At 43.4% G+C, this 23,232-nt stretch overlaps 1 long non-coding RNA gene and 1 pseudogene across 3 annotated transcripts in view; one reads left to right on the plus strand and one right to left on the minus strand.

Moving 5' to 3' along the window:
* Positions 1-7,587, plus strand: part of LOC105376208 (uncharacterized) — a 78,157-nt gene extending 70,570 nt beyond the window's left edge. The window contains exons 4-7 of one of the 3 annotated variants that reach the window (XR_930229.2): positions 1,302-1,466; positions 2,240-2,763; positions 5,006-5,156; positions 6,379-6,779. This is a non-coding gene — a long non-coding RNA (uncharacterized LOC105376208). Of the gene's footprint in view, positions 1-1,301; positions 1,467-2,239; positions 2,764-5,005 lie in introns of all 3 variants that reach the window. The other 2 variants (XR_007061720.1, XR_930228.2) reach the window with 2 other exon arrangements.
* On the minus strand, positions 6,248-6,546 carry RN7SL659P (RNA, 7SL, cytoplasmic 659, pseudogene; annotated as a pseudogene).
* Positions 7,588-23,232: the final 15,645 nt, after the last annotated feature.

Here is a 23,232-nt window from a genome sequence, read left to right on the forward strand (position 1 = left end):
CTCGCACTTCTGCTGGCACTGCTTTTGTTATGTAATAAAATCATGCTCCTCTTGAGCAGCTGGAATTTCTTTTAATCTGACAGACATTATGAATCACACATCCCTGATAAGTGTTTCCAACTTAGCCTGTGGAAAACTCAAGTTAATTTGTGTCCCAACTTCCTACTCTACCTGGGGAGAATCAGTCTTCCTCTGGCTTCATGCAACTATTCTAACTTAATTTTGCCATTCCCATTACTTTTAAAGACTGTTTTCATTGTATTGTATTGTAGATTTTTTAAATAGCTACTTCAAGATTTTTGGGGGAGTGGGATGTGGTAAACATAAATGTATATAAAGGGTTCTATTAATTCTGTGGAAATGAAAATGAGGAAAAGAAAGAATGATGCCTCATCTCCCTCAGCAAATACTTGAATTCCTACATTCTTAGGAATACTACAAGAAGGAATGAAAGGTTTTGGGAGAAGATGGACAGTTACTTTTAACACATGCACATTTGAGGTCCTCTGGAAACAGAGCTGTCCACTACTGAATTGGTTATGTAAGTAAGGAGCTCAGGAGTGAGGTAGATTCTGGAGAGAAAGTTTAGAAGTCATCACCCCAGTTGTTGAAGCCAATGGAGGAAAGAGACAGTTCTTTAAGACAGTTCTAACTGTGGCTAAGACAGTTGTGTCATTAGCCACAAATGACAGCAATAGAAAGAGAAAAGATATATGATCCTCTAACAACACAGAAATTATCCCATGACTGATGGCATACACATGTACATTACCCATTCACCCATGCAGCTCACAAGTGAATTATATAACACCACATTGACACCTAATTTTAAATCTTATGAATAGACATGAAGTGCCAATTTACACTCGGCACTAGAAATTCTTTCCGGGATATGTATTTTTTATACATTCGTTTTCTTCTCTTATTGAGTTTATAAATCATTTATTTCCCGGTGGTTTAAAAACAAACATACAACATTGTTTGGAGAAGTGATGGTCTGCTATAAAAGTTAGATGGTCAGTACTAATGGGGAAATTTTGATCGCTTCAGGGTTGTTCTTTTCCATGCCTGGCACATGCAAGATGAAGCTAATTTGTATTATGAAATATAATGTGTTCTCTTTTTATTTTATTGAAATGCTTTAAAACTTAAGATCAGAGCTGGGTTAACAATATTTTCCAAGTAAAACACCATCAAGTACAAATATTACCAAGGACCTCCAAGTTCCTTGTTAAGTGCCCTATACATTTACATGAAAAGGGATTTTTAAAAGTTTCCTCTATTCCTTACTCCCCACTCAGTGCTGGTTAATTAACCAATCATAAAGAAAAGATGAAAGTATGTGAACCTCAAATCCTTGTGTTCTGGAAAAAAAACATACTCACAGAATAATGAAAAAAAATTTCAACTAATGAGAACCAGGAACAATGACCACTGGAAATAATGAAAACAGTTGGATCAAACAGGTAAAAACTTCACAGAAAATTAGCAGTGCATTGGTCTGGCTTTGCTTCTGTGTCTCCTTAAGGCCTATGTCTTGGTTGGATGACTTATTGGTGGGAGCAGAGGGGAGCTCTTTTCTTCAGAGTACATGGTTTAAATGTTCTTTCAACTTTGTTGGCTAACAGGTTGTTTAATATGCCTTTTCACCTGGCTTCCATCTCTTTACATACATATTTAAAGTCCCTGCCTTCTGCTGCAGTCCACCATCTTGAAACAGCCTGTCCCTTATTCAGCCAGCACAGACACTCCAACCTCCCTGATATTGCATAGCAGGGAGATGAGGTTTAGAGTTGTATGACTTTCTTGACTTGGAAGAGGAACTGGATTTGTTCCATTTTAAATGCTGCTTGTGGCAGTCTATGGCAGGCAAAATTTTGTCCTCTTTCTAGGTATTAGGACGGGATAAATTCTCCAGCCTTCTTTGCAGTTAGGTTGGGGCTTGCGCTGGAGTTCTTGCCAATGGAATGTGCACAGAAATGATGTCCACTAGTGGTTCTCACGCTACAGTGTGTATAATGAGTCATCCCATCACTCAGGGATCTTGTTGAAATGCAGATTCTGATTCAGTAGGTTTTGGGTGAGGCCCATGATTCTGCACTTCAATAAGCTCTTAGTTAATACCAGTGCTGCTGGTTTTATGGACAACACTTCAAGTAGTAAGAACGTACACCAATTCCAACTTGGCCATAAAATATCATGTGCAGTCTTCCAAGATTTCTCTGCTTTATCTGTACAGCTACAAGTAAAGCACTTGGAATGGTAGAGTGCTTCCCTCAATGGATGGAAGGAGACTGGATCCCTCTGACACTGACTGGAAGAGCTCTGCTAAGCAAAGCTGCGAGCTCATGAAAGACTGTGAGGAGAGTAAGAGGTAACCTTTTATTGTGTTAAGTCATTAATGTCAGGGTTTACTTGTTACTACAGCATGGCTTCCTCTAACACCTCCTCTTATCAACTGCCTTTTCTGAGTCTTTCCTTGACTCATGATTTTGAGTTAACTTAGTAAACTTACCAAAGGCTGACTTTGCACCAAGAATCATTATAGGTACTGGAAAATTTAAAAGATGAAGGAGGTGGAGTCATTTTTTCCTAAGGAGCTGGGAGAGGAGATAAGAAATGGGATCAAATAATGAACAACAAGTTTCAAAGGGATCAGAGTCCAATAAAACCTGCCGCCTGAGCTCTTAAGAGAGAAATGGAAATCGTAGTTGTGAACATCAGGCTTTCTAGAAGTGGCTGTACCAACATCAGCCTTGAAAGGTGAGTAGAGTTTGAATTTATAACAATTAGGATAAGAGCACATTGGAGGAGTTAAAGTCAGGAAATGGCAGGAAGGTACCCGGGAAATGTGGGACTTGCCAATGGGATCCAGTATAGGGTGAAGAATTGGAGTCATGGTATATCCAACAGAAATGAAGGTCAAGGTTGTATCATAGAATACTTTGAATGGCAATTTGAGGAGCTTGGATTTATCCTGAGGATAGAAGGGAACTCTTGGGTTTCAATAGGAGTGTGATCTCACTGGATATAATGAGGAGGGGTGTGTGGCTCTGGTACCACACTGTCCCTACTCCCAGGGTCTGTTGCAATAGTTCAGGTATAAGAGACTGAGGTCCAGCAAACTAACACAGGAACAGGAAACCAAACACCACATGTTCTCACTCATAAATGGGAGCTGAACAATGAGAACACATGGACACAGGGAGGGGAACATCACATACTGGGGCCTGTCGGGGAGTTGGGGGAAAGGGGAGGGAGAACATCAGGACAAATACCTAATGCAAGTAGAGCTTAAAACCTAGATGACGGGTTGATAGGTGCAGCAAACCACCATGGCACATGAATACCGAGGTAACAAACCTGCACGTTTAGCACGTGTATCCCAGAACTTAAAGTAAAATTAAAAAAAAAAAAAGAGGCTGAGGTCTGAGCATAAAGATGAAAAAGACAAGGAAATCTGACAACATTGGGAGAAAGATAGAGAAGCACCTCCCCATTCCACTCCAACCCCTGTTCAGAAACCGGGGTGCTGCATCTCTGAGATGTTGTGTCTTGACATGTAACCAGTGTGTCTTAGTTACATGTAACAAAGTCAGTAAGCCATGGTGTTAGGTCTCAGAGCCCTGGCTTCTTGCTCCAAGCTCACTATGTTTCCACTTGAGTACAAGGTTGTCTCCAGTGTCATAGGTGCCCTCTAAAGTTGTACTCGGTGAGCTGGATCTAAGTACAGCATAATTCACATCTTGCAATGTGACCATCTTTGCAAATTTAATTTCAATAGTTTTGAGTCACCCCAGTTGGGAAATTTATTGGAACTCTATTTCACTATGACTTGCCAACAGCAAGTTTAAGACACACTTTAAAAAGACATTGATTACTCTAAAGGTGCTTCAACCAAACCTGCTGCTATTTCTTTGGGGTCTGTACCACACCTGGGTGAGAGGGTTTAGGCAGTCTTTCTTTCTCTCTCTTTCTTTTCTTTTCTTTTCCTTTCTTTCTTTCTTTCTTTCTTTCTTTCTTTCTTTCTTTCTTTCTTTCTTTCCTTTCTTTCCTTCTTCCTTCCTTCCTTTCTTTCTCTTTCTCTTTTTCTTCCTTCCTTCCTTCATTTCTGCCTTCCTTCCTTCCTTTTCTTTTCTTTCTTTCTCTCTTCCTCTCTTTCTCTCTTCCTTTCTCTCTCTCTTTCCTTCCTTCCTTCCTTCCTTCATTTTTTTTGGAGGCAGGGTCTCACTCTGTCACTCAGACCAGAGTGTAAAAGGGAGAACTTCCTGCAACTGTTGTCAGACAGAAATTTGTTTGAATCTTATGTCTGCCACTTCCTAACCATGTGATCTGGAACAAATAATTTAACATTCTGGAGCGAAGGTTTCTGTAGTTTACAATGGGGAGGGTGATTACCGCCAAAATTACATGAAGGTTCCATGAGATGATGGTGATGAAGTTCTGAGCACAGTGCACTGCACCCAGTGCCGAGAGTCCAGTCAGCGTCGATGCTCCTATCTCTATCCTGGGTATACTAATGAGAGCAATGGTAGCTGCTCTAATGAACAAGTCCAAAAGTTGCAGTGACCTTAAAGTAATAAAACACTATTTTTCACTCACCAAGCTGTTGATATGGATGTTCCTGGTTGCCAGGAAACCTTTCACACGGTGAGTCAGAAACCCTGCCTCCTTCTTCCTGTGGCTTCTTTCTCACCTAAGATGTGAAAAGACAGGTTGGAGAAGGAATGCCTTGGACCAGGAGTGAGACACATCGCTTATGCTCATTGGTGTAAAGTGGTCACATGACCACTCACGAGAAGCAAGAGGTGCTGGGAAATGTAATCACCGACATGGCAGCTACTTCCCAGTGACAGTTCTACACTATGGAAGGGAAGCAGTTAGCTGTCTCTACCGTAGGAGGGGGAATTCTGAGGCAGGACTGGGATATGGGCCAAGGAGCTGGGTTTATAGTGGTGAAAACAACATGTCAGATTCACATTTCTTTCCTCTCTGTCTCTTCTAGAGCTCAATCCAGCAGATCCTGTCCCACTTGGAACCTGGCTATGAGTGAGAAAACATCTGTGGTTGGAAAATGGGGCTGGTGATTCAGGCCTGTTTGGGAAGAAGATGCTCTTGAATGCTTTGCTCAACAAACACCTCCCTTCTGCAAGGAGGTGAGAGGTCATCTGTCTGTCTACTTTGACACTTTCACCCACTGAACTTCAGGGCTTAAGACACCTTCCCCATAAATTGGAGTGAGCGCGGCACAAACTGTCCCTGAATTTGACCATAACTGACTCACCAAAGGTCTGAGTAGGGGAGAAGGCAAAAACAGACAAACAGGCACTGAGGACTTTGCCATCCCAGACCTGTGTCATGTAAACAGGCTGTCTGCTTCACAGCCAAGGAATGAGCCCTGGACGTGGGTCGGAACTGGAGCCTTAACAGCTAATACCCAGAGCCTTTGACTGTGGACGACTGTGTTCAAAGGGGCAGGCTGCCCACTACTAGGGCATGGAGGAGAGGCAGGATGTGGGGAAAGAGTGTGGTTTTGGAATCAGACACAACTGGTCCCCGCCACTTACTCAGCCTTGTGACCTCAGATGAAAAAGTCTCTTATTCTTACTAAGGCTCAGTTTCCCCAACTGTGAAACTGACATAACACTATGGACTTCAAAAGGCTTTACAAGCAAAACAATTTATAAAACAATTTATTCAACAATTTATTCAGGCACTTAGCACAGTGCTAGCACATAGATATAAGTAACAGTTTTTTTTCTCTGTTCCTTCTACGTGGAGGAGAGGCATCTGTTGTCTCTTCAAGTTAATTAATTTGAAAATATCCAGTAGCAACCATTTCTTAAATTCCTCTTACGAGCCATTTAGTTTTGCAACAACTGCAAGATAGACAGTATTATTCCCATTTTACAGATATGGACATTGAAGCTCAGGAGGTACACCGGATATAGTGACTTTGATCTTCTCATTGCCCTGACACTGATGAGAGAGAGATAACAAAATCAAAAAGAACAGTTGGAGGAATAAATGTCAAATATAGGAGGCTGGAAGCATAGTCTCTAACCTCAGTCTAGCCTCGGATAATAGCATTTTCATCTTGCTACAGCAGTAGCAGACACCAGCTGGGTGCCTTCTCCCTATTTTATTCATTTGTATGTTCATTGAGCAATTTATCTATTGCTAATTCCTTAGCAAGCATTTACTGTGACCTTCCTTTTATTATTACTATTATTATTATTCATTTTAGAGACAGGGCTATGCCATTATGTTGCCTACGCTGGAGGGCAGTGGTTATTTACAGGTGTGATGCCGCTACTGATCAGCATGGGAGTTTTGACCTGATTCATTTCTGATCTGGGCCCATTTGCCCCTCCTTAGGCAACCTGTGATGCCCCACTCCCAGGAAGTCACTGTATTGATGCTGAACTTAGTGTGGGCACTTCATGGGCACAGCACACTACAGCCCAGAACTCCTGGGCTCAAGTGATCCTTCCACCACAGCTTTTCCAGCAGCTGGGACTACAGGTACATGCCATTGTGCTCAGCTACTGTGTACTTCCTATGTCCTCAAATCCTGCTACTCAAAACATAATTCCTAAGCCAGAAGCATCAGCATCACTGAGAGCTTATTAGAAATGCTGATTCTCAGGCCTAACCTCGGACCAACTGAACCAGAGAATCTGCATTTTAACAAGATCCCTGGGTGATTCACAGCATATATGAAAGATTGAAAATTGCTATCCTTGATGCTTTTCTTTTTTTTTTTTTTTTTTTGAGATGGAGTCTCACTCTGTCACCAAGGCTAGAGTGCAATGGCATGATCTTGGCTCACTGCAACCTCCGCCTCCCGGTTCAAATGATTCTCCTGTCTCAGCCTCCCAAGTAGCTGGGATTACAGGCACGTGCCACCATGCCCAGCTAATTTTTGTATTTTTAGTAGAGATGGGGTTTCACCATGTTGGCCAGGCTGGTCTTGAACTCCCGACCTCAGGTGATTCACCTGCCTCGGCCTCCCAAAGTGCTGGGATTACAGGTGTGAACCACCACACCTGGCCTCCTTGATGCTTTTCTATCTTGGTGAAATACTTATTGGGAGGACTCCCAGTACTGCTACCTTCCTTATTGTGAGTAGAAAAAAACTGAAAAAGTCAAAGTGTTTTTTCAATTCTCTCACTCAACAATAATCACCACTGAAGACTCCTGTGACCAACTCTGTGGGGATTTCTCCTCACCAACAAGCAGTCAGTTCTGTAGCAGACACCAGCTGGGTACCCTCCAATCCAATTCAATTCTGATGTTACCTACCTGGAGGTAGCGTCAGATGCCACAGGTTGAGGGCTCAGTCCCACGTGACTGCCCCTAACTTATGATACCAGTCAAAAGCCCCAGGTTGTTTTATTTGTGCTTCTGACTGACCGTCTATAAGTCAGGGATCCCCTGAACCCCTTTTTGTGTGTGATTAATTTACTGGAGCAGAGCTTACAGAACTCAAGGAAACACTTAACATTTACTGGTTTATTATTGTATTAGTTCGTTTTCATGCTGCTAATAAAGACATACCTGAGACTTGGTAATCTATAAAGGAAAGAGGTTTAATGGACTCATGGTTCAGTTCCACATGGCTGGGGAGGTGTCACAATCATGGCAGAAAGTGAAGGGGAAGCAAGACATGTCTTGCATGGTGGCAGGCAAGAGAGACAGCATGTGCAGGGGAACTGCCCTTTATAAAACCATCAGCTCTCATGAGACTTATTCATTATCATGAGAACAGAATGGGAAAAACCAGCCCCCATGATTCAATTACCTCCTACCAGGTCCCTCCCATGAAACGTGGCGATTATTACAAATTGAGATTTGGGTGGGGACACAGCCCAACCATATCAGTTATAATGGGTATTACAAAGGATACGGATGAAGAGATGCATAGGTCAAGGCATGGGGGAAAGGGCACGGAGCTTCCATGCCCTCTCTGAGTGTACCACCCTCCAGGAACCTCCATGCGTTCAGCTATCCAGAAGCTCTCTGAACTCCGCCCTTTCAGATTTTTATGGAGGCTTTATTATGTAGGCATGATTGATTGATTAAACCATTGGCCATTGGTGATCAACTTGACCTTCGGCCCTTCTCCTCGCCCCAGAGGTTGTGGGTGGGGCTGAAAGTCCTAACCCTCTAATCATGTCTTGGTGACTAGCCCTCATTCTGAAGTTACCTAGGGCCTACAAGCCATCAGTCAACTCATTAGCATACAAAAACATCGCTGTGCAGATTCCAAGGATTTTAGGAGTTGTATGCCAGTAACAGGATGGAAGATTAAATATATATTTTACAATATTACATTAATCCACACAAGGAACAATGGGGCACCTCTAGAACACAATTTTTTTTTCTTCACTTCAGTGCACCTGTGATCATCTAGACCAGGGATGTCCAATCTTTTGGCTTCTCTGGGCCACATTGGAAGAAGAAAAATTGTCTTGGGCCTCACATAAAACACACTAACAGTAATGATAGCTGATGGGCTAAAAAAAAAATTTTGCAAAAAAAATCTCATAGTATTTTAGGAAAGTTTATGAATTTGTGTTGGGCTGCATTCAAAGCCATCTTGGGCTGCATGCGGCCCATGGGCCCCAAGTTGGAAAAGCTTGGTCTAGAGCCTGGGTGACCACTCCTTCCTAGCCGTGCATATGTGGTATACACCTCTAGACCTTAACAGAATGGAAAGTGAAGCAAAGAAGGCTTCGATCTTAGAAAGTGTTTAGGGTCCCTAATCTCCTTATCAGCTACACCCTACTTGTGGTTCTGGGGATTCAGCTGGAGGCAGAGAGGCAGTGCCTGAGCCCTGAGACTTCTCTACATGGTATCCAATATATTTCTTGTTGTATCATGATAGCACCACGATTAACCCATAGTTAACCTTAGCATCACAGTGATTATGTGACCCTGGGGTAGCTCTGCCTCATCTAACCAGGCCAGGACCACTTGTGGGGATTCCAGAGTCATTAAATATGGAAAATGGGAAAAGCTATGAATTACTTCCGGCCTCATTTGGAAGAAGCTGGCTATTTAATAGGCAGCAATTCAAGATTCAGCAGAGGAGACAGGGCCTGGCATGCATTAACTGTGTTCCCATGAACACGCAGGAAACCTTGCCATTATTTACAATGAGGGAGCATCTGCTGCATGCCACGCAGCAGAAGGAGCAATGGCACATCACCTTGTTTCATTCTTAAGATATCTTCAGGTAGGCAGCATGATTTCCATTTTCAGAAGAGGTAACTGAGGCTCAGAGAGACCATGTGACTTGCCCATGTCACATAGACAATCAATGGCAGTGCAGGGCTACATCCATGCATTTTTCAAAACTTGGCATGGGGATTTTAATAAGAGAAATCATGCATTTTTTTACAATTAGAATGGGAATTTACATTCAAATAAAGGACACTTTCATTAATGGGGTTTGGGAATGTAGGATGTTATTCCCCTGCTACTTCCAAGGGAACTGCAGGAGAAGGTGTAGGAGGATGAGCAAAGTTAGTCAAGAATGGGTGCAGAGACAGTCTTGGATATGTTCCACTCCTGTTACTGATATATCACAGCCATCCTGCTCCTTGACTCCCCCACTTCAGCTTGAAAGAGCTCACCATGGACCAAGAAGGTGGCAGGTCCTGGATGAAATGCACTGCCTTAGTGTTTGTGTTTCCTCCAGCTTTCAGGCCCATGAGTGTCAGTTGCAGAGCATGTCTCCACTGATTCCCTGGCATGTGGCACAGGCAGCCCAAACAACCACTAGGGAGGCTTTGTTGCTGCCAGAGTTTTGAGCTGGGTTCTGCCACCCTCAGGAGCCCGGTTGGAAGCTCGGAGCCTTGTGTAGGACAAAAGTCATTCTGTGGCCCTGAGCTTTGGAGGGAAGTGTTGACATCTTGCTAATTAACACAAAAGAGGTGTTGCTCCCTATACACTCTTCCTTTGGAAGCAGAGAGTGCAGTCAACGTAAATTGAAATTTAGATTAGGATCCCCACTCCTCCTTTGATTAGCTCAGTGATTTTTGTCAAAGTCAAGCAACCTCTCTGAGTCTCAGGTGACTTCATTTGTTCCGTGGAATGTTCACATGAGAGATGCTGTCAATGTCTTAGTACAGGCCTTAACTCCAAATGGGCATTCAATAAATAATTGCAGTTATTATCCCGTTTTGCTACATGAAGTTTACTGAAATATAAACACATTATATTCATTACAACATTTTCACTCTTAAGTAACAAAACTCAACTTAAAACTAACCTAAACATAAACTAATAAATAAAATTTTATTTACTCAGCAAGACCAACTTTAGGTGCAGCTGGATTCAGGGATTCCAACAGTGATATCAGGACCCAGCTTCTCTTCACCCCTTAGTTCAGAGTCCCTGTGGGTATTGGCTGTATCCTGTAGACAGGCTGTGGCCACCCACAGCTCCAGATTCACATGTTTTCCAGCTTATTAATTCCCAATGCCCATTTATTATCAATCCAGGGAAGATTTTGATTGGCCTTGCTTAGATTACACAACTTACACCTGGACCAATCACTGTTGCTAGAGGCATAGAGCACCGAGATTGGCTAATCTGGAGTCACATGACCAACTCTGTGATGAGGAAGGGGATGTTGGTAGATGGCTGGGATGACACAGACTGGAGACGAGCCGTTCTTCAATGGCGTTAAGGATGCTAGGCTGAAGAAAACAAAGCAATATCTACCTCAAGAGCCTTAGAGAAAGAGGTATTTGCTCCTGACTCTTCCCTAGGTCTCCCTATGAGTCAGTCCTAGTCCAAGTAAATTTGTTTCTAAAGTCATTAAAGAGAATTCTGTTGGCTTAGAAATACATATAGCTTCCATCAAAGTAAAATAATTTGCAGAAGAGTTGCTGTTGAGCTGTGTGAATCTGAATTGTAAGTAGGACCCCCAGGCAAAGTCTGTGACTTTGGCTTAAAACACATGGAACTCAGGGCAAAATTTCACTCAGCCAGCTGGGTGTCACATGGATGTCTCCTGCTTCAGTTGCTTTAAGACCACTGCTGTGCACATCAGTATCGAAGGGCACATGGGAACTGTTCTGCCAGTATTCTGAAGGCCCCCTTTATTCCCCCCACCACCCAACTTTTCCAAAGCAGTAACAGCCAAACACCCAAAGCCTACCTTATGTCACACGGATAGTTCTTTGACTCTGTAAGCTATAAACTTGCCAGCTCTTTCTTGGCAAACATTTGCACATTGTGCTAGCTTGAGGTTGAGAAGGTCAGGATTTGCATTTGCAAACTGATAAGGATATTTCTGTTTCGATCCCTGTCAGTCTTTTGCAGTGGTAAGAACCACAGTCTTCCTTGTGAGCTTTTTTCCTAGTAGTTATTTTATTTGTTTCACAAATACTTGTTGAACACCTGTTTTGTGTAACAGGCTGTGTTAGAAGACGAAGCCCACACATGTGAGCCAGATGTGAGCTGTCCTTCATTGCCTTGCTCTACTTCTTCAGGCCCTCCTCCCTTTTCCCACCCCTGCCAATGTAGAGAAGGCTTCCAGCACCTCTCTTTACTCAAGAGTTCTAAAGGGAGATGGAGGAAGATTACTTTGCACACCTTAGCAAACAATTTACAACATTCCCCTGCAACATTTTCATCATTCAAGGTTGGTTCTAGGACATGGCCATGTGCTAGAGTCATGAGTTTCCTGCTTTCCCTTTTCCTCAGCTTTGCTGGCCTCAGTTTCTTCCATTACAGTATCCACTTCCCTCCCCCATTCCCACACATTTGGCACTCTTTTTTATGAAGTAGATCAATTAATCTATACCTGAGCTTCTACCTCCATTCTTATATATGCAAAAGGCATCGTAATGGTTAGAAGACTAAAGGACCCCCAGTTTCCAGAATGTATGCTCCTTATAAAGCAATGTTAATGTGATAGTTATCAGGCCCCATTTAGCACCCAAAGGGCATGGCAGCATTGCTCAAATGTGGACTGAGAATCTCTGCTCCAAGATGCTGGTTAAGAATTAAAATTCTCGGCCAGGCACAGTGGCTCACACCTATAATCCCAGCACTTTGGGAGGCCAAGGTGGGTGGATCATTTGAGGTCAGGAGTTGGAGACCAGCCTGGCCAACATGGTGAAACCCCGTCTCTACTAAAAATACAAAAATTAGCCAGGCATGGTGGCTCACGCCTGCAGTCTCAGCTACTCAGGAGGCTGAGGTACGAGAATCTCTTGAACCTGGTGAGAGGTGACAGCATGCTGGCAGTCCTCGTAGCCCTCGCTCGCTCTCGGCACCTCCTCTACCTGGGCTCCCACTTTGGCGGCACTTGAGGAGCCCTTCAGCCCGCCGCTGCACTGTGGGAGCCCCTTTCTGGGCTGGCCAAGGCCGGAGCCGGCTCCGTCAGCTTGCCCGGAGGTGTGGAGGGAGAGGCGCCGGCGGGAACCGGGGCTGCGCGCGGTGCTTGCAGGCCAGCGCGAGTTCCGGGTGGGCGTGGGCTCAGCGGGCCCCACACTGGGAGCGGCCGGCCGGCCCTGCCAGCCCCGGGAAGTGAGGGGCTTAGCACCCAGGCCAGCAGCTGCGGAGGGTGCGCCGGGTCCACCAGCAGTGCTGGCCCACCGGCACTGCGCTCGATTTCTCGCCGGGCCTTAGCTGCCTCCCCGCGGGGCAGGGCTTGCGACCTGCAGCCCGCCATGCCTGAGTCTCCCCCCACCCCACCTCGCGCCGTTGGTTCCTGCACAGCCTGAGCCTCCCCGACGAGCGCCGCCCCCTGCTCCACGGCCCCTGGTCCCATCACTGCCCAAGGGCTGAGGAGTGCGGGTGCACGGCGCGGGACTGGCAGGCAGCTCCACCGGCGGCCCCGGTGTGAGATCCACTGGGTGAAGCCAGCTGGGCTCCTGAGTCTGGTGGGGACTTGGAGAATCTTTATGTCTAGCTAGGGGATTGTAAATACACCAATGGGCACTCTGTAGCTAGCTCAAGGTTTGTAAACACACCAGTCAGCACTTTGTGTCTAGCTCAGGGTTTGTGAATGCACCAATTGACACTCTGTATCTAGCTACTCTGGTGGGGACTTGGAGAACCTTTGTGTCCACACTCTGTATCTAGCTAATCTAGTGGGAACGTGGAGAGCTTTTGTGTCTAGCTCAGGGATTGTAAATGCACCAATCAGCACCCTGTCAAAATGGACCAATCAGCTCTCTGTAAAATGGACCAATCGGCTCTCTGTAAAATGGCCCAATCATCAGGATGGGGGGGTGGTGGTGGGCGGTGCAGATAAGAGAATAAAAGCAGGCTGCCAGACCTAGCAGTGGCAACCGGCTGGGGTCTCTTTCCAGGCTGTGGGAGCTATGTTCTTTCGCTCTTTGCAAGAAGTCTTGGTGCTGCTCATTCTTTGAGTTAACATCGTTTTTATGAGCTGTAACACTCACCACGAAGGTCTGCAGCTTCACTCCAGAGCCAGCGAGACCATGAACCCACCAGAAGGAAGAAACTCCGAACACATCCAAAATCAGAAGGAACAAACTCTGGACACGCCCCATTTAAGAACTGTAACACTCACAGCGAGGGTCCGCGGCTTCATTCTTGAAGTCAGTGAGACCAAGAACCCACCAATTCCGGACACACTGGGAGGCGGAGGTTGCAGTGAGCAGAGCACACCATTGCACTCCAGCCTGGGCAGCAGAGTGAGACTCTGTCTCCAAAAAAAAAAAGAAAAGAAAATTTTGGAGCCCTACCCCAGGTAAACAGAATGAGAATCTCTCTGGGCAGGAGTAGTTGTTCTGAACTCTGTTGGGCTATAGGATTCACCTGGAGAGATTTTGTCTTTTTGTTTTGTTATTCAATTGTCCCCAAGTGATTGAAATATGGAGCCGGGATTGCCAGTCTTTGGATTAGAGGCACCTGCATTTTTTACAAGCATCTCAGTGACTCTTAGCCTGCTAATGTTTGCATTGTAGAAGTTTAGAGGATAAAATATAATTTTCTTCTGGAGTTCGGGGAAGGTGGAGTGAGGAGAAAACTTCCTAGGTGAGTGGTTTTGTGGGTGAAATTGGGAAAAGTGAGTGGGGTTTCATTAGTTGTGGGGAAAGGGGAACATGGACAGTTTAAATCATTACATGTTTAAATTCTAGGTTGTTTAAAACAGAGCTAGTGGTAGCCCAGCTTTGAAAGTAGATCCAACTCTAAAATGACATCCTTATTTGCCTGTAAGCATTTAAAATACTTCTTGTCCTTCCTATGATCATACACCCTTTTCCTCCCCTCTAAGGAGACAAATTCACAGGTACAGTCACTAAGGGTCGTGGATTTTTCTAAAACTTCTGCCCCACTGATGTAGTAAGTCATGAAAATATTCCAGACATGCCAATGTTTAAATCTTCAAATTCCATTTCCAAGATGACCTCTGGCATTTGAAAGTGACACAAAGGTCTGTTGACAACCGCAAGTTTCAGCTGAGCGTTTTAATAATAAGGCCTCCGCCTCCCAGGCGGCCAATAACACCAGCTCTCATCAGTGTGCTGGGACAGGCGTGCGCACCGCACCAAGCCAGCTGAGGCCAAGCCTGATAACAATCAGTCAATACTGAGATCAGGCCGCTGATTGCTTTTCTCAACTTAATGCTGTTTGTTTAACTAACACCAGTGAGAGTCCTTATTAAGGGCTGTTAACACTCTGAAATGGTGTTTGTTGAGCTTGCCAAAGTGATAAGTGATGCTGTGTTTACTCTCTTGTTCTCAAGGCTGATGGAGAAGCCTAAAACACAGTTTTGAAGTGCTTCGCTCTAATGAAGATACTAGTGAGTTCCACAAATAAGCCAATGGTTTGAGAACAGAATCACGAAGGCTAAAAAAAGTTTGCAAATGTTTGTTGGCTTGTAATGGATTTGCTTGATGATAACCACAAAGCATACACACACACACTACCCACTCATACACATTTCATTGTGTCCAAATACATCTTAAGATCTGTGCTCTTTTACTCTCAGCTCTGAGTGTAGAATGCAAGTGCTTTCTTTCCCAAACATGCGAGTGAATTGTGCGTGCTTGTGTTCAGAAGGAGAGAAAACATCAGATGGCCGGAAACATAGAGTGAGGGACTGCTTTCCCCAAACTCGTGCCCTCTAACATAAGCAAATGCTGGCTTTCCTGGAGAGCTAGCTTTCTTCAGGACTCTTATCCACTGTGACTCCAGTGGATTTTGGGGAGGGAGGGGTCTCTACTATTGAAAGAAAGAAAAAGGGAAGAAAGGAAAAGAAGCAGGAGGGAGAGGAGGAGGAATGTGAGGAAGAAAAGGAAAGAAGAAAGGAAAAGGAGGTAGGAGAGGGAGGCAGGAAGGCAAGAAAGAAGGAGTAAGAAAAGACCATCATTCTAATTTAAGCCCCTCATTTTAAAATAGAAAAACTGAGTTTCGGAGACAGAAAATTTCGAATGCGAAGTTGCATAACAAATCGTAAATAGAGGAAACAATGGTCTGCAAAGTCCAGGTTTTTTTATTTTCAATCCTTTTTTTTTTTTTTTTTTGCTACACTTTGCTGTGTAGCAAACATGTTGAGAAAACATGTTGCTGGTGGGAGCTATTTCCATATTTCACCTGTTTTGACATTGGCAGTGAATAGCTGGTCCTTAGGGAAGCTTTCTTTCAAAGGGAGATAAAACTGTTTTTAAATATTGAGCAGGAAAAGCTGTCACAGATTTCAGATATACTATGGAAGAGGTTTTAAATACAAGTGTGTGCCTGTTGAATTTTAATCGTGAAATGTAGCATTATTGAAATGCTTGCTTTTTTTTTATCACCATAGTTCTGAATTATTTAAAGAACATTAAATGATACTAATTTAGGTTGGAAAGTGGAAAAAGCTACAATCACTTCTCAGTAAACTAGGATCGGGGATTGGAGTAGAAAACCACAGAATATTGGTTGAGGGAATTCACAAAAATAAAAACATAGCAGAGGCTTAAATAGTCATCACCGCTCACCACACACAGAGGCTTCCTAATAGCTGGTTAACTTAAGTGAGAGACTTCCCTAAGACAGGAGTAAATTTTGGGGCTGGGCCTCTTGGAGGAGGGTCAAGGGGGAAAATCCTAACAGACAAACCTCTGGGCTCCATCCCAAGCTTCCCTAGAACTGCTCCACTTTAATCTTCTCATATTTTGAAATATTTACTATGTATCAGGGACTTTTCCAAACATTATACATGTGCTAATTTATTTAATCTTTACAACCCTGTGAGGTTGACATTGTTGTTATCGTCAAGGTCAAAACGGCTAATAAATTGCAGAACTGGAATTGAGACCAAGGCAATTCAGTTCTGAGTGTATGTCCTCAACTGCATGCCACACTTACTCTGAAATTTGCAAGGATCATCTGGAGGCAATGCTGTAGACTCGGCATGCACGAATGGCCGTCTACATCACTTCATGGTGCTGCGCATGTTGGACAGCAGATTATGCCCTTTAGCCGTGGGATGTGGCACTAGGGTAGCAGTGGGCATGGTGTTTCCTTCTCCTTGAAATTCTTTTCTTTGACTGGGTGCGGTGGCTAACACCTGTAATCCCAACCCTTTGGGAAGCCAAGGCTGGTAGCATTGCTTGAGCTCAGGAGTTTGAGACAAGCCCGGGCAACATAGCAAGACCTAGCCTCTACTAAAAATAAAATTAGCCAGGCATGGAGGTGCACACCTGTAGTGTCCCAGCTACTCGGAAGGCTGAGGTGGGAGGATCACTTGAACCCAGAAGATGGAGACTACAATGAGCTGTGATCACACCGCTGCACTCCAACCTGGGAGACAGAGCAAGACCCAGTCTCAAAAAAAAAAAAAAAAAAAAAAAAATTTTTTTTTTTTGTTAATTCTTGCTTCTGAGCCTTGACCATGGTGTATTTGGGAAGTAAGAAGAAAAGGAGTGTTCAGAGAGGTTGTTGATAAGCCCATTCTCAGCAAATTCCTCTAGACTCTTCAGCAGATGTTGCAGTTTGAGTTAGATGGTTCGGTTATGAGATGCCTGATTACTGCTGTTTATCAGCTTTGAACTTTGTGGGTGATGCTTTTCTCCGAGCTGAATCTTGGTAGGGTATACAAACATTGACTTCCTGAGTATGTAAACCTCGTTAAACTTTTCAAACCAGGAATATAATAATTGAAAAATCTGTTTTACTCTGCTATAATCATGCATTTCAGGAAATTCAGGAGCCAACAGAGAAAGATACTTCAGAATGGGAACAGATGTCAACCTTTTGCATTTTAAGAGTAGTGACATAAAATGTTCATTTTACTGTGGAAACGAGCCCACAATGTGTGCTCAGTTAATGCTAGAATTAAAAAAATTTAATAGTCACAAACTCAAGTATTTCTGAAGGTTTTGATTGGCCGCTGACTTTAAGGACTATATTGACCACCCCAGCTATTTGCAATAAACAAAAACAAACAATGGAAAACAAATCTTAATAACAATGTCCTCAGATTCTTAGCATTTCTATTTGTCTACTGTTTATTTTTTTCAAACTTATCATTTGTGATATATAAGACACTCCACAGACCAGTGGCTTGGTATTCAAGGCCCTCACTATTTGATTTGCAACTGGCCTTACATCCGTTTTACATCTATTTAGTTAAAACTATGTTGCCTGAAAATAACAGAAAGTCCCACCGACAGTGGAACAAACAATTAAGGAATATATTCGTCTCATGCAACAGGAAGTTCAAGGTAGACAGTTTAGGGCTAGTATGGCAGCATGTGTACGCCACCAGCAACCCTGGTTCCTTTTATTTTCCTGGTCTGCCATTCACAGACTATAACTTTCTTCACAGAAGATGAGATGGCTTCTGCACTTCCAGGCATGGCTTCTGCCTGGGCTAAAATAAAGGTGAAGAGTGATGGGTAAAGGGCTTTCTCATAGCAGGGCTTTTGGAAAGAGTGTCCTGGACAAGAACTTCTGCCAGATCTCATCGGCCAGAGTACTATGGAGCCGGGAAGATCCACATATCTTTAGCTGGGACCATTGTCACTCAGAACAAAGTTGGGTTTTCTGTGAAAGGAAGAAGGAAATGGCAGTAGGAATGGTCATTACCAGTGTCTGCTGCACACAGCTGTGCTGCCAGAATAAATGCCTTGCAGTGCCCTGTTCATATCCATGGACCCCCCGTTCACATTTCTGCTTATACTCTTCTTTCATCCTGAAATATTTTCACCTCCATTCTAATATTCTTATTTCCACAATTTCAAGATCCCCCTGTCTCTGGGGTACCTTTTTTCTCAGCACCTTTCCTGACATCCTTATCCCAGTGGGCAGGGGTCTCCATCTTCCCGCATTCCCACTGCCCTTTACCATCGGAGAGCCTGAGGATGTGACTTCCCTCCAGCCATCCCTGCAGTTTGGCTACCACATTCTGCAAAGCAGGGTAGAGGGCTAGTGTTCCCTAGAGAGGCTACCCTTCTCCCACTGTGTTTTGTCCAGGAGAGACACTAAATGAGTGGGGGTAGATATTTACACTTTACAACTAAGACACAAAAGGAGGCATTTTTGTTTTCTATTGTTGGGGAGATCGTACTAACTAGTTTGCTTGGGACAGTTCTGATTTATGCTTGCTATTCTGGAGAAATTATTAATAGCGCCCCCTTTCACCCTCAGAAGTGTCCCAGTTTAAAAAAAATAAATTCTGTGTTTATCGATAAATGACCTTATTTTGCAATGGAACTTCCACTCCCATTCCCTGGGGGATGGGTGGGGAGGAGAAGTTTGCCGGTTAAGGGAAACTCTGTCTCTCTGGTTTAAAACACTTTCATCTGGATTAACTCACAGTCAATTAGATATGTACTTGGCTTATTCCAAATCTAAACTCTATCAGAGCTGTTTCTGCCCTTCGGTCTCAGGATCTTCTTTTTTCCAAAATGTGTCTGAGAGCAAGTCCCTTGTCCAAAGCACCAATGTCAACCATTTCTAAAACTTGTCTGCTATGCCAGCATTTGGAGTTCACAGCTATATTAAGAGTTTTGGTATTATCCTTTACTTCTTCTCCCATCTATGGCTTTTAATTTTACAGGGAGTTGGAGGTGACATTTGACCTCCTTCTTCCTCATCTTCCTTTATTTTTGTCTTGTGAGCATTTTCTGTTTCTTCTCCTTTAACTTATAGCTTGTAGGAAACTCTCAATCCCAAGTCCACTAGACTTGAGTTTTGATAGGTAATGGAATGTAGAAAGCCATATTTTCCTTTCAATGAAGTTTAATTAATTAATTTATTTTTTTATTTAATAAGGAATATATGCTTCTGGGCAGAAAGAGGGAAAATCATGAGCAATGATATGTGGGTTGAGAAGGGGAGAAAAAGACAATTCTGTATTTTCCCCCAAAGGATGATCCCTGTTATAGCTACTTACTGAGTGACTTGATAAACGTGTGACTTCATACAACTTTCCAGAAGCTACCTAATGCCAAAAACCATGAAGAAAGAGTATATATGTGCTAATACCCTTGTAACACAGTGGAATTCGGTGTCTCTACTGGCACTCCTCATGGACCCTCACCCTTCAAGGGTGGTCCTGGCTATTGTTGGAGCCCCAGATCATTTCACTCCCCAGCCAACTCTCTGGGCCTTGCAGTGATTCGCTTATAAATGTAGAAAACAGAATTTATTCTGCATCACCAGATAAAGACTGAGCAGTCTAAAGAAAGTTCAGTGCATTAAAACTGCTTTAAATCTTCCAGATTATGGCAAAACGGCTAGGTAGAGAAAAGAAGTGAGCTCTATTCTCTGTTTCACTGTGGCTAAACTGTGCATTGGTTTCTAATTTTATTATTGCCCATAAAATAAGCGCAGTGTTATATGTGTTTATTATATATATATTATATATATATATTTATTTATATACGTATATTTAATTTCCAAGAGAGCTTTAGAAAAATTTTGTAAGACAGCTGTGGAGTCGATGAAAAATGCTGAACTTGAAATCTGAGGACCTGGATTTGGATCTTCATCTAACTCCCTATAAAATTGCTTAGTCTTGGTTTCTTCCTCTGTAATAAGGATTATACCTACCTCACAAAATTGCGACAAGAATTAAATGAGATAATGCAATTGGTGATGCATTGTAAAATAATTTATTAGATATGAAAGCATCCAATGTTTTTAAGAGAGAAATTTATCTATGTAGCAAATGTTATATCCAGACATTGTGAGCACAAACTGTGAAAGCAGATCTAAGCATCTAAATTTATAGATACACAATGGTACCTAGCAGCGGGGAATTGTGACAGCCTGGAAAGTCATCTTTCCAAGGCTAAAAATGGGCCAGGCGTAGTAGCTCATGCCTGTAATTTCAGCAGTTTTGGAGGCCGAGGTGGGAGGATCACTTGAGCCCGGGAATTTGAGACCAGCCTGGGCAACATAGGGAGACCCTGTCTCTTCAAAAAATTAAAAAACTTGGCCAGGTGTGGTGGCGCATGCCTGTAGTTCCAGCTACTTGGGGGGGCTGAGGTGGAAGGATTGCTTGAGTCTGGGAGGTCAAGGCTGCAGTGAGCCATGATCACGCCATTGCACTCCAGTCTGGATGACAGAGCTGATCCCGTCTGAAAAAAAAACCCCAAAAACCAAACCAAACCAAACAAAAAAAATGCTAAAGAGGCAAAAAGTTGATGACAAAGGCCAGAGGGGGACTCTGTTTCTTTTCCAAGCTCTGGGTAGGCAGTGTCTCCTGGAAAGAAGGATGTGTTCCTCTCACTAAATTGTAATTAAGGCAAGCAATAAAATAAAGTTCCCTGATGTTTGCATAGGCTTTTTTTTTTTCTTCAAGGAGAGCCAGGGAGTCAAACCCTGCCTGTCGCACTCCAAAACTTAAAATTGTCTTCCTGTCCATGAGGATTAATACTTTTGTTTTCAAAAAGGCTATTGGTCCATGGAAGAAAGAGAAACTTCCTTTTTGAAAAGAAAACCTCAGTGCTGCAAAGAAAGTTCATGAAGATGGTATATCCATGAAGGTCCTTTCTCTTCCTAATAATAGCTAAGAAGTGTTTCCAAGTGTGAATAGGGAGTCTGATCATTCTGGTGATCCTTTGAAGCTCCCTCTACTGGGGTCCTGTCTTCTCTTTTCTTTCTTTTCTTTTCTTTCCCTTTCCCTTTCCCTTTCCCTTTCCCTTTCCCTTTCCCTTTCCCTTTCCCTTTCCCTTTCCCTTTCCGAGTCTCGCTCTGTCGCCCAGGCTGTAGTGCAGTGGCGCAATCTCGGCTCACTGCAAGCTCCGCCTCCCGGGTTCACGCCATTCTCCTGCCTCAGCCTCCGGGCTAGCTGGGACTACAGGCGCCCGCCACTGTGCCAGGCTAATTTTTTGTATTTTTAGTAGAGATGGGGTTTCACCATATTAGCCAGGATGGTCTCGATCTCCTGACTTCGTGACCCACCCGCCTCGACTTCCCAAAGTGCTGGGATTACAGGCATGAGTCACCGCGCCCGGCCCAGATTTCATCTTTTCAAGGAATCCTGATCTCTTGGGAGCTAGAGAGATGGTTTGCCTTAGCTTATTTGTGTGACCAAGGAGACAGACAAAAGACTTCTCTTTCCAGGAATTCAAATTCCTAGAATCCTGGGACCTTGGAGAAGAAAAAGAAGTAGTACTAGTGGGCTACTTGCTCTTTAAAGAGCTGGATCTTACCGCTTCTTTTGAAATGTGGTGTGAGGGCAGTATAGAGAGTTCTTTCACCTGAGGACCTGCAGAGTCTGCTCCATAGGGGAATGAACAAATGATTGCATCCATCTTGTAAACCTGTTTCCTCAAAGCCTGACATCTGAGGCTGAGGCAGGAGAATGGCATGAAGCGGGGGGAGGCGGAGCTTGTAGTTAGCCGAGATCACACCACTGCACTCCAGCCTGGGCGACTGAGCGAGGCTCCGTCTCAAAAAAAAAAACCTGACATCTGGCACAGAGTAGGTGCTCATTAAATATTAAATGATTGAATGAATGCAATAATGCATTTCTGAACAGTTCTCAAAGCTGACATCCAGTGAGTGGAGTAGGGGACAGAGGTACTTATATTATTAGTAATATGTATTGTATTTGCATGTCTGTTACTTCATTCACTTTAGCTCAACTACAGAAACAGAGAGAGATAAAGATAGAGAGGGAAAGCATGTGCGTGAGAGAATTGCACATGATACATGATTCTTATTGACTAGATAAGGAAACTGAAAATTGAGTGACTAAGCTTCTTGTTCAAGGTTACAATGAGGCAGATCTCAGGCTCATACCTAGGCCTGTCTGGCTGGAAAACCAGCACTCTGTGTCCCCACTCTGTTGTGCTAAGTGATATCCTTGGCGTGGAAGGGGAAGTCAGCAGTCAGAGTAGAAAAATCAGCATTCACGAAGATGGAAGACGGGGAGGTGAAGTGGGATGTAACCAGACATCCTGTGGAAGGGCAGTCATTGCATTTTCTAATTGCTTTGAAATCCAGGTTTACAATTCTTGAGAAATGAATTTTATTTTTTTGAGGCTACTGAAAAACTGTAGTTTGAGTCCCCTTAAGATCTGTCACTGATGTTTTGGCAGATATCTGGACATTTCTTGGCTGGCTGTTATATATCTAGAAGTGCTAGACTATTCCATGTACATTCTGTTATTCCATCCTCATAAGGACCCAGTGAGATGTTTTAATCTCCATTTTATAAATCCAGGAACTGAGTTTCAAAGAAATAAGTGATTTCACTTGAGGTCATACACTATAATTGGCAGAGCCAGTGTATGAATCAAGAAATGTCTGTCAGTTAAGTGTTCCTTGTTTATTTTTATCTTTTATTGACGTATCATAATTGTACATATTTCTGGGGTACATGTAACATTTGGATACATGTATACAATGTATAATAATCAAAGGTAATTAGGATATCTATCACATCAAACATTTATCTTTTCGTTTTTGTTTTAAGACAAGGTCTCACTCTGTCTCCCAGGCTTGAGTGCAGTGGCATGATCACTGCAGCCTCTACCTCCTGGGATCAGGCAATTCTCTCACCTCAGCCTCCCAAGTAGCTGGGACCACAGGCATATGCTACCACATCTGGCAAATTTTTTAAAACTATTTGTAGAGACAGGGTTTCCTTATTTTGCCCAGGCTGATCTTGAACTGCTGGGCTCAAGTGATCCTCCTGCTTCAGCCTCCCAAAGTGCTGGGATTATAGGTGTGAGCCACAGCACTTAGTCAACATTTATCTTTTCTTTGTATTGAGAACATTATAATTATTTTCTT

Source organism: Homo sapiens, chromosome 9 (assembly GCF_000001405.40).
Source record: "Homo sapiens chromosome 9, GRCh38.p14 Primary Assembly".
NCBI classification, from domain to species: Eukaryota; Metazoa; Chordata; class Mammalia; order Primates; family Hominidae; genus Homo; species Homo sapiens.